Source organism: Homo sapiens, chromosome X, assembly GCF_000001405.40.
Source record: "Homo sapiens chromosome X, GRCh38.p14 Primary Assembly".
Taxonomy (NCBI): domain Eukaryota; kingdom Metazoa; phylum Chordata; class Mammalia; order Primates; family Hominidae; genus Homo; species Homo sapiens.
In genome coordinates this window covers 87,625,829-87,641,344 of record NC_000023.11, presented here as the reverse complement: position 1 = coordinate 87,641,344, position 15,516 = coordinate 87,625,829, and the positions used below count along the sequence as shown (strand labels likewise).

General features: G+C 36.3%; 1 protein-coding gene across 3 annotated transcripts in view; it reads right to left on the bottom strand.

Annotated features, from left to right (window-relative positions):
* Positions 1-15,516, bottom strand: part of KLHL4 (kelch like family member 4) — a 152,249-nt gene that overhangs the window by 28,706 nt on the left and 108,027 nt on the right. For all 3 annotated transcript variants that reach the window (XR_938403.3, NM_019117.5, NM_057162.3), the window contains exons 7-9: positions 8,911-9,135; positions 7,434-7,596; positions 5,570-5,782 (exon numbers count right to left, since the gene is read on the bottom strand). Coding sequence is in view for 2 of the 3 variants with exons in the window: in NM_019117.5 (NP_061990.2) it covers positions 5,570-5,782; positions 7,434-7,596; positions 8,911-9,135 (601 nt within the window). In the remaining variant the exon portion in view is untranslated. The remainder of the gene's footprint in view (positions 1-5,569; positions 5,783-7,433; positions 7,597-8,910; positions 9,136-15,516) is intronic.

The following is a 15,516-nucleotide window of genomic DNA, read 5'->3' as shown; positions in this document are numbered from 1 at the left end:
CCCTCTAAATTGCCTCAGCTCCAGGTAAAGTTGGAAACTTCTCCTGCAAACAGACCTTCAGCTTCTCCAGTGGGTGTGTTTGGGAGAGGAGGCTCTCCCTTTCACACTTCTGCAGTTGGGCCACTCACAGAACTTGGGGTGTCTCCTGGGTCCTGCAGGAGCAGTTAGTTTTCTTCAGATGGTCTGTGGGTCCTCTCAGGATTGCTGGTTTGTTCTTGCAGTCCATCTGGAGCTAAAATTCACAATGCGAGCCTCTGCATGCTGCTCTGTCTGTAGCTGCAATCTTCTCCTGCCTCACGTCCACCATGATGATTCCAATTCTGATTTGTGTACATTAATTTTGTAACCTGAAACTTTGCTGAATTCATTTACCAGTTCTAGGAGCTTTCTGGATGAGTCTTTAGGGTTTTCTAGGTATACAATCATGTCATCAGCAAACAGTGACAGTTTGACTTCCTTATTACCAATTTGGATGCCCTTTATTTCTTTATCTTGTCCGACTGCTCTGGCTAGGACTTCCAATACTATGTTGAATAGAAGTTGTGAAAGTGGGCATCATTGTCTTCTTCCAGTTCTCAGGGAGAATGTTTTCAACTTTTCCCTGTTCAGTATTATGTTGGCTGTGGGTTTGTCATAGATGGCTTTCATTACCTTAAGGTAAGCCCCTTCTATGCTGATTTTGCTGAGGGTTTTAATGATAAAGGGATGCTGGACTTTGTCAAAGGGTTTTACTGCATTTATTGAGATGATTATGTGATTTTTTAAAAAAATATTTTTATGAGGCATATCACATTTATTGACTTGTGGATGTTAAACAATCCCTGCGTCCCTGGTATAAAACTAACTTGATCATGGTGTATTATCTTTTTGACATGTTGTTGGATTCTGTTAACTAGTATTGTGTTGAGAATTTTTGCATCTATGTTCATCATGGATATTGGGCTGTAGTTTTCTTTTTTGTTATGTCCTTTCCTGGTTTTGGTATCAGGATGATACTGGCTTCACAGAATGATTTACGGAGGATTCCCTTTTTCTCTATCTTTTGGAATAGTTTTAGTATCATTGGTACCAATTCTTCTTTGAATGTCACATAAAATTCACCTGTGATTTCATCTGGACCTAGACTTTTTTTGTTGGTAACTTTTTAGTTACTGTTTCAATCTTGCTTCTTATTATTGGTCTGTTCAGAGTTTCTATTTCTTCCTAGTTTAATCTAGGATGGTTGTATATTTCTAGGAATTTATCCATCACCTCTAGGTTTTCTAGTTTGTGTATGTAAAGGTGTTCCTAGTAGCCTTGAATGATCTTTTGTGTTTCTGAGATATTGGTTGTAATATCTCCCATTTCATTTCTAATTGGGCTTATTTGAATCTTCTCCTTTTTTTCTTGGTTAATTTTGCTAATGGTCTATTCATTTGGTTTATTTTTTTCAAAGAACCAGCTGTGTGTTTTCTCTTTTGTATTTTTTTGTTGTTGTTGTTTCAATTTCATTTAGTTCTGGTCTTTCTTTTCTTCTGCTGGGTTTGTTTGTTGTTTTTTCTCTAGTTCCTTGACGTGTAACCCTAGATTGTCTATTTGTGCTCTTTCAGACTTTTTGATGTAGGCATTCAATGCTATGAACTTTCCTCTTAGAACCACTTTTCTGTTTCCTAGAGGTTTGGAGAGGTTATATTATTATTATTGTTCAGTTCAAATAATTTTTTATTTCAATCTTGATTTCACTGTGACCCAATGATCATTCAGAAGCATGTTATTTAAATTCCATGTACTTGCATGGTTTTGAGGGTTTCTTCTAGAGTTGATTTCCAATTTTATTAGACTGTGGTCTGACAGAGTACTTGATAAAATTTCAATTTTCTTAAATTTACTGAGACTTGTTTTGTGGCTTTTACTGAGACTTGTTTTGTCATATGGTCTATCTTGGAGAATGTTCCATGTGCTGATGAATACAGTGCATATTCTGCAGTTGTTAGGTAGAATGTTCTGTAAATATCTAAGTCCATTAGTTCTGGGGTATAGTTTAAGTTCATTGGTTCGTGTTGACTTTCTATCTTGATGACCTGTCTAGTGCTGTGAATGGAGTACTGAAGTCCCCCACTATTATTGTGTTGCTGTCTATCTTATGTCTTAGGTCTGGTAGTAATTGTTTTATGAATTTGGGAGCTCCAGTGTTAGGTGCATATATATTTAGGATTGTGATATTTTCCTGTTGGACTAGTTCTTTTATCATTACATAAGGTCCCTCTTTGTCTTTTTTAACTGTTGTTGCTTTAAAGTTTGTTTTGTCTGATATAAGAATAGCTATTCCTGCTCATTTTTTTGTGTCCATTTTCACGGACTATCTTTTTTCCACTCCTTTACCTTAAGTTTATTTGAGTCCTTATTTGTCAGGTGAGTCTCTTGAAGACAGCAGATATTAATTAGTGAGTTCTTATCAATTTTGCCATTCTACATCTTTTAAGTGGAGCATTTAGGCCATTTTACATTCACCGTTACTATTGAGATGTGAGGTACTATTCTATACATTGTGCTATTAATTGCCTGAATACCTTGGTATTTTTTTCACTGTTATTGTTTTATATGTCCTGTGAGATGTATACTTTAAGGAGACTCTATTTTTCTGTATTGTGAGGATTTCTTTCATGATTTAGAGCTCCTTTTAGCAGTTCTTGTAGGGCTGGCTTCATAGTGGCAAATTCTCTCAGCATTTGTTTGTCTAAAAAAGACTCTATCTTTCCTTCATTTATGAAGCTTAGTTTCACTGGATACAAAATTCTTGACTAATTGTTTTGTTTAAGGAGGCTAAAGATAAGGCCTCAATCCCCTCTAGCTTGTAGAGTTTCTACTAAAATATCTGCTCTTACTCTCACAGGTTTTCCTTTTTAGGTTACCTGGTGCTTTTCCCTCACAGTTCTTAAGATTATTTCCTTTGTTTTGACTTTAGATAACCAAATGAATATGTGCCTAGGCGATGATTTTTTTGTGATAAATTTCCCAGATGTTCTTTGAGCTTCTTGTGTATGGCTGTCTAGATCTCTAGCAAGGCCAGGGAAGTTTTCCTTGATTATCCCCTCAAATATGTTTTCCAAACTTTTAGATTTCTCTTCTTTGGGAACACAAACTAATCATCTGTTTTGTCATTTAACATAATCCCAATCTTCTTGAAGGCTTTGTTCATTTTTTTAAAATAATTTTTTTCTTTATCTTTGTCGGATTGGGTTAATTTGATACACTTGTCTTCAAGCTCTGACATTCTTTCTTCTACTTGTTTGATTCTATTGCTGAGACTTTCCAGTGCATTTTGCAATTCTGTAAATGTGTCCTTCACTTCCAGAAGTTGTAATTGTTTTTTATGTTTTCTATTTTATGTATGTGTGTATTTATTTATTTATTTTTTCAATGGAGTCTCGCTCTGTTGCCCAGGCTGGAGTGCAGTGGCATGATCTCAGCTCACTTCAACCTCTGCCTCCCAGGTTCAAGTGATTCTCTTGCTTCAGACTCCTGAGTGGCTGACATTGAAGGCAACTGCCACTGTGCCAGGTTGATTTTTGTATTTTTAGTACAGAAAGGGTTTTGCCATGTTGGCCAGGCTGGTCTCAAACTCCTGATCTCAGATGATCCTCCAACTTTGACCTTCCAAAGTGCTGGGATTATAGTTATGAGCCACCATGCCTAGCCTGTGACTGCTTTTTATTTATGCTATCTATTTCACTGGAGAATTTTCCATTCATATTCTACATGATTTTATTTATTTATTTATTTATTTGATGTGTTTAAGTTGGACTTCACCATTCTCCCGTACCTCCTTGATTGGCTTAATAGTTGACCTTCTGAATTCTTTTTCTGGCAATTCAGATACATCATCTTGGTTTGGATCCATTGCTGGTGAGCTACTGCGATCTTTTGGGGATGTCAAAAAACCTCATTTTGTCATACTACCAGAATTGTTTTTCTGGTTCCTTCTCATTTGGGTAGACTATGTCAGAGGGAAGATCTGGAACTCAAGGGCTGCTGTTCAGATTCTTTTGTCCTATGGGGGTGATCCCTTGATGTGGTGCTCTCCCCTTTCCCCTAGGGATGGGGCTTCCTGAGCACCAAACTGCAGTGATTGCTATTTCTGTTCTGGATCTAGCCACCCAGCAGAGCTACTGGGGTGGGGAGTGTCTGCCATGAGTCCTGTGATGTGATCCATCTTCAGGTCTCTCAGCCATGGATACTAGCACCTACTCTCGTGGAGGTGGCTGGGGAGTGAAGTATGCTCTGAGGGTCCTTGGTTGTATTTTTGTTTAGTATGCTGGTTTTGTGTTGGTTGGCCTCCAGCTAGGAGGTGGCACATTCAAGAGCCCATCAGTTCCGTTTGTATAGGAAGGATACAACTTTGCCTTAGGCTTAGGCAGTGGGCAGGGCCATAGAGCTATCAAGAAATTATGAGCTTTGTGTTTGGCTACCAGCGCATAAAGAGAAAGACCATCAGGTGGGGGCAGGGTTAGGCATGTCTGAGCTCAGACTCTCCTTGGGTGGGGCTTGCTGCAGCTGCTGTGGGGGATGGGGTGTGGTTTTCAGGCCAATGGAGTTATGTTCCCAGGGGGATTATGGCTAGCTCTGCTTTGTCACATAGGCCACCGGGAAAGTGGGGGAAAGCTGGCAGCCACAGGCCTCACCCAGCTCCCATGCAGCCTGCAGCCAGAAAGGCTGGTCTCACTCCCACTGCACCCTCGCTCAACAGAACCTAGCTTATTTCAAGGCAGCCAGTGAGCAGGGCTGAGAACCTACCCCAGGCCATAAGACTCCCAGCTGAGAAAGCAAGCAGGCTCACATTGCTACGGCTATCCCTGCGCAGCAATCCACCTCCCTCAGAGGGTCTGTGGATTCTCTTGACTTTCCTGTTATGTTCCTGCGGTAGTTCTTAGAGCAAAAGTTCACGATATGGTTCTCCACACACTGCTCTGTCTATATGAGTGGGAGCTGCAAGTTATTCCTGGCTCCTATCTGCCATTTTTTCCCCAATCTCAGTAAACTTATTTTGATTTGAGTCTCCTGAATTGGTTGAGTGATGTAGCTTGGCATAAAATTTATTTGTTTACCACTTTGTCTTATTATTTTATAGTGTGACTATTTAACAATAAGATGACATATTCTTTTTACATATTCTATGCTGAATCTGAAATGTATACGGAATATTTAAAAAATATATTTTTAGTCTAAGAGAAAGTGTACAATTGTACAGAAGATAAATCCACTACAAGGATTAGCATTTATTGGAAGACTACTTTCTGGTTGTTTAAAAATGTAATTAAACACTGTCCATTAAAAATAAAAATAAAAAATTAAAATTAAAATTAGCTAAGATCCCATATTTGAAAGAGCCTAGAACAGGAGGGGACTAGAGTCTTAGAGGATCTCAGCTGGGAAAGGACTTGTTCTCCCTAGATTCCCGTTGTACTATTTAATTTTCTTACAGTGGGCATAGAACTAAACTGATTTCCATTTAAAAGAAAAAAAATCTTTCTATTTCTAAAAAATTAAATAACCAAATAATTACATACAGAAGGAAATAGAAAAAACTTACCGTTCCACACAGTCAGAAAGCCTGGAGCAATGGTTGGAAGCAGGGGCATCATGCCCCCCTACAACATATAAGAATCCATTGTATGTGGCAACTCCCACACCTCCACGTCTTTTGGACATTGGAGCACACAAACTCCACTTGTTAGTGTGTGGGTCAAAGTATTCCATTGATTTGAGGCAGGAACTTCCATCACGTCCACCAATAGCATATAATCTAGATAAAAAGACAGAATTGTGTGTATGTATATGTGTGTGTATACATATACACACAAAATGCATGCATAGAATGAGAGTGAGAGAACTTTGTACAAAGCTTTTCAAGTTTCTGAAGGGTCTGACTATATATTCTACTCCTACACTATTATGCAGTGAATAGCAGAAGTTTGTGAATAGATCGTAACCTGAGGGCACCTGTTAAAATCTATCCCAACCCAAATCTCCCTTTTTCACTATCTTTATCACAGTCATTTTAACATAATTGAATAAAAGATTCCATGGGATATGAGGCACAGAAAAAAAGAGGGAAAGATCAAAGGGATTGGCAGGATAGTTCCAAAGACCAACTCCAACAACTTTACAATTTTAGCAGGGTTAAACTACCTAGGAGCAGAATCCATTGTTTTTATGTATGACTTTATATTTGCATTAAAAAATTATCACTTAGAAGACATTAGCTTAATAAACAACTAAGGAAAGAGGATAGAACCTAGAAACTAGATTTTTTTCCCTCGTAAGTGATATTGGCTATGACATTTCTCCCATACATTTTAAAATGCCATTCTTTTGATAAGTAGTATTTTTAATATAATTTTAAAGTTATCATGTATTAATAAAGAAGACAGACATTTATTAATCCATATTCCTATAACTTCCCTTCATGCTGAGTTGTAAACAATAGCAACTCAGCAAAGCACAATTAAATAGGTCAAATTTCATGTTTTCATCCTGTTCTGTATTAGGTAGGAGATTACATAACTGAATCACTTGACATTATTCAGGTGAGGCCACGGATAGATTTAGGAGTAGCTTAAGCTCTAAGACACTTTAAAACTGGATCTCCTCTTAACTCTGGACATTTCCTATTTATTTCTGTGCAAGGTTCTAAAAACAATGCGTTGACATTTTGACTGAGACCATATCTATGATAATGTATTGGCTTCATGCATAGTCAATATAAACACACAAGGCTGTCTCTGGCAACTGACCCAACCTATTGTCTAAAACTCGCATGATTCATGACCCTCTTATATGCTGGTCATTGTCTCCAAAGTTCCCTTGTCAGAAAGCACATAATACCTGGTAACAATTCAAGCTCTTAGAAACTTCTAACATCATCATGTTTTAGTATAATATCTCGGAAGTGATAGGCAAGTGACAGGAAGAGGTAAATATTCAGGAAGGGTGAGACTAGGTAGGATTCTATATTTAGGAACCCTGAACACTCAGGAGAGGGATTGTTGAAAGAATAAAAGAATCACCTTGTTATATCCATAGACAGACTAAAGTTTTGATAAAAATAAATCATAATGTAAAAAAGTAGTAACTTCTTGAGGGTAAAATTAGAACTGGCTTGCCTATAAAAGCTGGGTCGGGGCTAGGATTCAGCATTTCTAAATACGAAAGGTGGATGCTGCTGGTCCCAGGACCACACCTTGATTAGCAAGGGCATACAGAATATTTAATCAAGTATTTATTTTAGACAAGTATTTTCAGTCCTAATGGAGAGTTCCAATGAAGACCTTTTATTATTGATAACAAGTACATCCAGGTTATTTGGAATGCTAATTGATTGGATGGATCATGTCACCGAAGTTCTATACTATATGACCTGGGAGCAATGAACATGTGTGTTTCAACTTACTCACTTGTTGTTTAATGCAACAACACCAACTGTGCTTCTAGGAGTTGACATACTGGCTACGTAATTCCACTGTCGTCCCTCAGGGTCCCATCTTTCTACAGTATTTAGATAGCTCCATCCATCATGACCACCTACAGCATACATTGGTCCTTCAAGAGTGGCTACACCTAAAAAAATTAAAATAATATGTGGGTTCACCTAGGTATGCCACACACTGAATATTGTTTCATTTTGCAAGCAATTAACTGCTTAAATTTTTTTGTTTTGCTTATTAAACGATTTTGCATACATATGAATAGTTTACTGACTCTGTTGTAAAGCTAAGTATGGTTTTCTAACCCTGTGAAACTTTCAGTTTTAGTTACTATATCATAGAAGGGTACTATTGTTGTAACACTGAAGTCAAAAGAGGCAGTAGAATGCACCATTTAAATTACACTAGATATGTAATTTAAAAAGCTGGCTTTTTCTGGCAAAATTTCAATATTGTTTGTTGATATAACATGTAGATACAATGTGATGTTGATTCTTAGATAAACCTTAGAATTACAGGCTGACTGTAGTAGGTCTTTATAACCTCTGGTGTTTAATATAGGGATAAAAAGATTCCTGTGAGCTAACTTACAGACAGAGCTTTTTAATGTTTAGTTAGAAGTTTGTTTTTTCAAATATTATGAATAGCCCATTTCTGCTTCGCATCTGCTTTGATAATTTACATAATTGTTTTTTTCCCCACCTTCACTATCCCAATCAACCTCTCAGTGGTATATCATCATCACCTCTCCTACCTATTTGCTAATATCAATTATATTGAAAAATAAGCTTGCTCTGATTTCCCTGCAGGACCTTTCTAAGCTATGTCTAGGAATAACACTGACATAACTGAACTGAATAATTATATCGTGTATTATTTGGCAGAGTCAATTTATCAGGATAATTGGGGCAAGCAATACCATTCCTGGATCTGCTGCTTTTTAGCTCTATAAAAATCAGATTAAAAAAAAGGAAATTTTTCTGTTGTTCAGCCAACTCTTATGATATTGCAAAAATATGGAGCCTAGTATAAAGAACGAGGTATCCTGACAAATATTCAGGAGAATCAAAGTTCTCCACTGTGGGCACATGATTCATCTAACTAGAAACACAATCCCTCGCAATAGTCAAGTACTTTCCTCTCTAAATTGAGCTTAGAAGAAAGCTCCTTGCTGTAGTTGTATATTATTTTATAATAAATCCCTTTGAAATGTGGTTATCCTTTTTAGAATGAAACCCCTTTAAAATACTGGTGGAAGGGAATCAGGAGTAACCTGCAACAATAACAAATGTCTCACAGGCTTTTATCATTTCCTTAAGTTTTTCATCATTTTGGAGACATTTTCACTAAGGATTTGGCTAAATCCCAATAATGTGCTGCTAGATTTAATTTTTAAAAACTCTACTTACTATACATTCTTGAAAAATACATTACGTTAAGCTCTTACCTAAGCCGTGCCGATGTGTTGACATGGGAGGCATCACAGTCCAGATTTTGCCAACTGGATTAAAACATTCCACTGTATTCAAAGTTTTTAAACCGTCTCTTCCTCCCACGACATAGAGCTTATTATCAATAACTGCGACTCCAAATTGAAGCCTACGGCCATTCATGGTGCCAATATGTAGCCAACTGTTGGTCCTGAGGTCATATTTTTCAATAGTAGTAGTACCTGACAAAGGGATATTGAACAACGGTAAAATCTACTTCTATTGAAATTTTGAATTGGTATTATTCACATTATAATTATGTACCCATAACTTACAGCACAGTATCAGTGATTACAATTCAAATTAAGTAAGTAGCTCAGGTAATTCTACAACCTGGGAGACAAAGCAAAGGATAATCTTTTACCACTTCTGGACCCAAATAGAAGAGTCAAAATAAAATGTTTTATGTAATATGTTTGGTTTATACCCTTATAACACTGGCTTTGGCTATACTATTCTACTGGTAGTATCAACACAAGTGTCAAATGACATAATTTACAACAAAATACCTTGGATTCTATTATTGAATGTTTGCACATCTGTTACAGATTTAATTACTTATGACCATTCAACATACTAATTTATGCTTTTTAAATTTGTTTTGGGTGTGTGTGTTTATTTGTGTGTGTGTGTTTGTGTGTATGTGTGTGTGTGTTTATTTAAAAGACACGTAACTAAAGGACCAGGAATGAAAATTATTTTTAAACGGGCCTTTAGCTGTGTGTCGTGGCATGCACCTGTAGTCCCAGCTACTTGGGAGGCTGAGGTCGGAAGACCACTTCAGCCCAGGAGGCGGAGGCTGCAGTGGGCCAAGATCACACCAGCCTGGGTGACAGAGTGAGACTCTGTCTATATAAATAAATAAAATTCAAAAAATGTTAAATGGGCCTTTGGTGTTGATTCACATAATGTTCCATGATGGTAATGATACAAGAGGTAGAGAGAAATTATTTATGCAGATAGTGAGGTCAAAAGAATCCTTGGTGGAATTACCTTTCTAATCAAAAGCAGCCCCCCAAATCATTTATTTTCTAACAAAGAGCAGCCTGAAAAATCAAGCTGCAGACATAGATAAGCAAGCTGGAAGCTTGCACAGGGGAATGATGGCAGCTGCACCGATAGGAAAGGGCTACCTTGGGGGCAGGCATTTCCAACATGGAGGCTTCATCTTCCCTTTTATTGTTACCACGTGTACAGTAAGAAAGAAATGGGTATCATGGCGAGTTTAGGCAGAAAACCCACCTGCATAATAAAAGATTGGTGTGGGGGCTGCCAGAGATTCGTGCCCTATGCAAATAGCACACCTGGTCCTAACCAGTCTTTTGCGCCCTATGTAGAACAGGCACCACCTCCTCACCAGCTCATCTATAAACCCCCCTGCATTTCAGCACAGATCTGGAAACCCATTTTTCCAGGACCCTTCTCTGTAGCGGAGAGCTATTCTCTTTCTTTTGCCTGTTAAATTTCTGCTCTTAATCTCACTCTTTGTGTGTCCATGTCTTTGATTTCTGTGGCCAAGAGACAACGAACCTCAGGTGTTACCCCAGACAATGAACCTGCTTCAGTAGCACAAAATATTACAGTTGAGAATATAGAATTACAAGGTATTACTTTCTTTAAGTGTTAATATAATTGTATTTTCTATTCAATTACTAATGTGCAAAGTTTACTGCCATAGTATACTGTCACTATTGACAAAGTAAACTATCACTACTGCCATAATGAATTGTCACTTCAGTAGGCAATGCTTCTTACCATTCATTCATAATAGTTGTTGCTATTTTTTAGTAAAAGCTGATTTTGCACAACAGGGAAACTTCTGAATAATAACCAGGGTGGAAAATAATAGAATTATTTTTTACATCTATATAGTATATCTAATAGAGTTTGTGGCAGGTTTAAAAAATTTCATAGTTAATGGGTGCAGCACACCAACATGGCACATGTATACATATGTAACAAACCTGCACATTGTGCACATGTACCCTAAAACTTAAAGTATAATAATAATTTAAAAAAAAACCTCATTTGCTAGAAAAGAAAAAAAAATTTCATCCCAATTACACAAAATCAGCCACAGTAATAAGCAAAAATACTTTCCAGTTGCTCCTTTATTGGGAGATTTGTGAAGAAAATGCAGTTCATTAGTTATAATGAAGATGTAGTTAATTAACATTTGAAGCATAACCATTGGCAGTGTCAAAATTTAAGCAGAGTGTATATTAAATATATAACTGCTCCTTGATTAGATTGAATTAGTGGAAACAGTGTTTCCTTCCTCTAAGTTTAAATATTTTCTGGTGAATAGTGCACTGCAAGTATTTGTGTTCCAAGATTTTGGATTTTCTAGCACAAACTTGTAAATACACAGGGACTTATTTACTCTTTCTCTTTCATTATTGCCTCCTTCACTGATAACATGGATTTGACTGAATACTGATTTATACATTAGCAATTGCTCTACTGACTATATTTCCTGCTAAGAGGTCAAATTATAACACCTATCAAAATATGTTTTCTACACTAAATATCTTTTGATGGTAATGTTAAAACTGAAATAACTAGAAACTCACACCTACTTTTATTCTATGTTTAACCAGTCAGTTTTCTCTGAATGTTTTCCAATTCTTTCCATTTCCTCATCCCAATCTTCCTACTTCTGTATTCTTATCTGCTTGTTCTAATTTTAACTTTTAGTTCTCTTTGTGTTAGTGCAATTTACGGATGACCTAATTTAGATTAGGAAATAAAAGCTAGTCTGCACTCATTGTTATGATTATGAAGATACGAATGGTGGGGTAATTAGAAAATTGTAGAAATCTACATTAGTCAGCTGTATGTAGAAGATTTACACTGAGAGATGTAGGTGTGTGATTCATGCCAGGTTAAACTTTTCAAGGCATTAGATTCAATAAAGATAAAATGATCCCATAACTTTTGACTGCAACATGAGCATTTATGACTAGTAGTTCTACATATTGAATTCTGAAGACTTCTCCAGCCCCTTTGTCCACCCCCACCAATCCTTCAACTAATCAAAATGTATATTCTCTAGCTGCTTTACTAGGACAGCTCTATATTAGATGGAAAAACATAAATTCAATTTTTTTACCATCTTTTCCTTTAAAATTTTTCTGTATGAATAACTCTCTGCCCCAGAACGTTTGATATATTCTCAATTCATTTCTAAGCTCTTACCCAATCTTCGTTCATAATGTATTCAAGAGTGAACAAAACCTGTCAAACTTATCAGTGTTGCTGAGAACACTGTAGTTCCTGCAGTAGTGAATATATCTGATGTAATGATTTCCTCCATTTACTTTACAAATGTTCCAAAAGCGACAGTATTAGCCTTTACCTTGTCTCCTGCCATATGCTTTATTCAGAATTTAGTTTTTAAACAAATACAAATTTACAAAATATTATGTACGTACAAGACATCCAAAGTTTACTAACTGGCAAGTTAACAATTTTGACTCTATGATTATACTTAGCACTTTCTAATGATTCTTTCAAATACATTGTAGGAGTTATAGTTAGCCCCAGCCATTTGTGTGATATCTGTATTTAACAGCAATTCTGAGCTTGTTATATGAGTCAGAGAGGAAATTAGAGTCTGAGGAAGCCCTGTATTTCCTAAACATCAAAATATAAAAGTTAAATTTTTCAAATTTTTAAAATTTCAATAGTGTTGGGGGTACAGGTGGTTTTAGGTTACATGGGTAAGTTCTTTGGTGGTGATTTCTGAGAATTTAGTGCATTCATCACCCAAGCAGTGTACACTGTACTCAATATGTAGTCAAAAACATCTTTTAAAAATAACTGAAGCAACACACAATAAGAAAAGGTGTATGTATAGAAATTAATGTTTATACTTTTGTGAAAATATGTAAAGTAGTACATTTTTCAATGTCATACTGCTTTATACAGATAAATGCTGCCCATTTAATGTTTTTGTTATACTTCTTAGGTTTTTTCTTTCTTTTTCTCTTTTTTCTTTTTTTTGCTACTACGTGTTTACCCTGGTTTTCCAATAGATTCTAAAACCCCAAAGAGTTTTGTTGCTGTTCTTTTGTCTGTAATAGTGGCAGTGTAGAAAAAGGAACATCATATTTGAATAAGAATTTCATCTCCAGCCTTTCTTAATGTTTGTCCTTTGGTTGGCTATCTAAACTTAAGATGTGCAAAGTAACGGTAACATTATTGTAACATTATTGTGAGGATTAGGAACGATGTTTGCAAAATGCCAAAGATTAAGTAATCAAAAATGTAAGGTTTTACTATTCTTTTAATGGTCTGCAACGTCCCGTGAGCCTTTTATAGTGTCTCCGTATACCAGGAATTCAAAGTGTCTCATGCCTTCATTTACTTCCATAACAAACTTTGGTAATAGAGTCCAGAGATTATAGGTTCATATTTCACTCATTTTTAGAGACTGATAAGGAGTTATAGATACTTATAAACATTTGTTGTAATACATTCCTTTATGGTAACAATAATTTAACCAAGATTAGCCCGAAAAAAATGCCAAAAATAAAAAATAAAAAACAAACACAAAAACCAAACAAACACAAAGTTTTCCATTTCTCACAATGCAAATTAGGCTTTTTTCAGAGTCAGAAACGAAAGATAACTGTACTTGCATTTTTAAATTAGTTCTCTTGTAATTTAAATGCCAAACAAAAAACCTTCTAATATGCTATTAATATTCAATTTAGTCAATAAAAATTCAATAAAACCTCAAGTTGCCAGACTGGAAATTAATTATAGGATCTCATTGCCCTATAAAACCTAGCTTGTAACATTATTGTTACAAAATACAAAAACATTGTTATCTGTTATTTCCTGAAGCACATCAGTTCTTGAAGTAACCCTACAAATCTGCAAATAATTGCATTTGCAATCTCTTGTTTTATGGGCTTATGATTAATAAGCATTGTTACTATGTAGTCTTCCAATTTTCAATTATATATATCAAAGAAAATAATGTGATTCCAGTAGGACTTCAAACCAAGTTTTTAAACTTTTTTTTTTCTATCCCCTTTCCTTTCCTCATTTCCCGTCACCCACAGTTTCAAGATGTAGCTCTGAGATAAACTTTACATCCTTGGAATGTTTTCTTTCCTCCACTCCCTTTCTTATCCCATTCTATGCTCCCATGCCTTATGCACACTGGTTACCTAGATGCTTGATAAACACACACCATACTCACTCATCTGGTCAAATATTTCCTGAGAAGCTTCAGGGGCCGGATGCTGATACAGACCAGACACCTCTGGCCATGATGGCACCAGCCCCTTTACCAGATGGAACGATAAATAATTCAACACAAGCCATTGAAGGGTGTCACAACACCTGACACTTCCTAGCCACCCTGCCTATTCTGCATTCCAAACTCTCTCTTTAAAGCCCCCACATTCCTTCTACAAATGGAAGAGTAGACATTTTTTGGAAAGAATTCCACCCACTCCTCTTCTTACTAGCATGGAAATGAAAATCTTGCTCTCTTTTTATCGCACCTCACTCTTGTTATTATGGCTTCTTTCTACAAGTGGCCAGCAGCCAGACCTTTTGCCAGTTACAGTCTCTTCCTTTCTGATTAACATGTGAAAGGAAAATAAGTCTTGGGACCCCCAAATCACTAAGCCAAAAGGAAAAGTCAAGCTGGGAACTGTGTCAGGCAAATCTTTCCTCCCTTTTTATTCCTAAATAAGATAAATACTGAGTTTTTTTTTTTTTTAAAGCTACATACATCCCTCACAATTTGCCCACAAGGAAATTCCTTGTGGGCCTCCAGATGCTTACCCTTAAAAAGTTACGTTGAATTTCACAACGGCAGTGTAAATTGACAGCTTATTTTCATAGGTGCAGGACAAAGGAATGACAGAACTCAATGTCATCCCTCTGTTCACCTGAGACAAATATGCATCTGATTGCTTCCTCTGCTTTATTGTTTATGAAAAAAATGCATATTCTCTAAGCCAGACTAAGGCATAAGTGACTATTCTTGTACCTCCCTCATATGTAAATTGTGTATTCAGTGAAAAGCTAATCAGATGCTCAAAAGAATGCAACCATCTGTCTCTTACCTACTTATGACCTAGAAGGCCCCCAGTTTGAGTTGTCTCGCGTTTCCGGACAGAACCAATGTATACCTTACACGTTGATGTCTGATATCTCCCTAAAATGTATAAAACCAAGATGTACCCTGACCCCCTGGGGTTAAGAATGGGCGCATTCTTAACCTTGGCAAAATAAACTTTTTAAATTAATTGAGACCTGTCTCACATACTTTCGGGTTCACAAACATTAAATAAGTTTTCCTTGAAAAGATAAAATATGGCAAAGTAAATATTCAAATCTTAAAACAGCTTCTGTAAAGTAAAAGTGCCTATTAAGAGTTCAACACTAATTGAAAGGTTATGTCTCATAAGGTAAGTAGAAAAATGAGGTCACAAAAATCATATAATGCACCCTATTTATGAAAATTCACTTTAGGTGCACTCATTTAACATGGCTTTAATATCACCCTTATAATTTGGAGGCTGTTAAGAATGTATCTT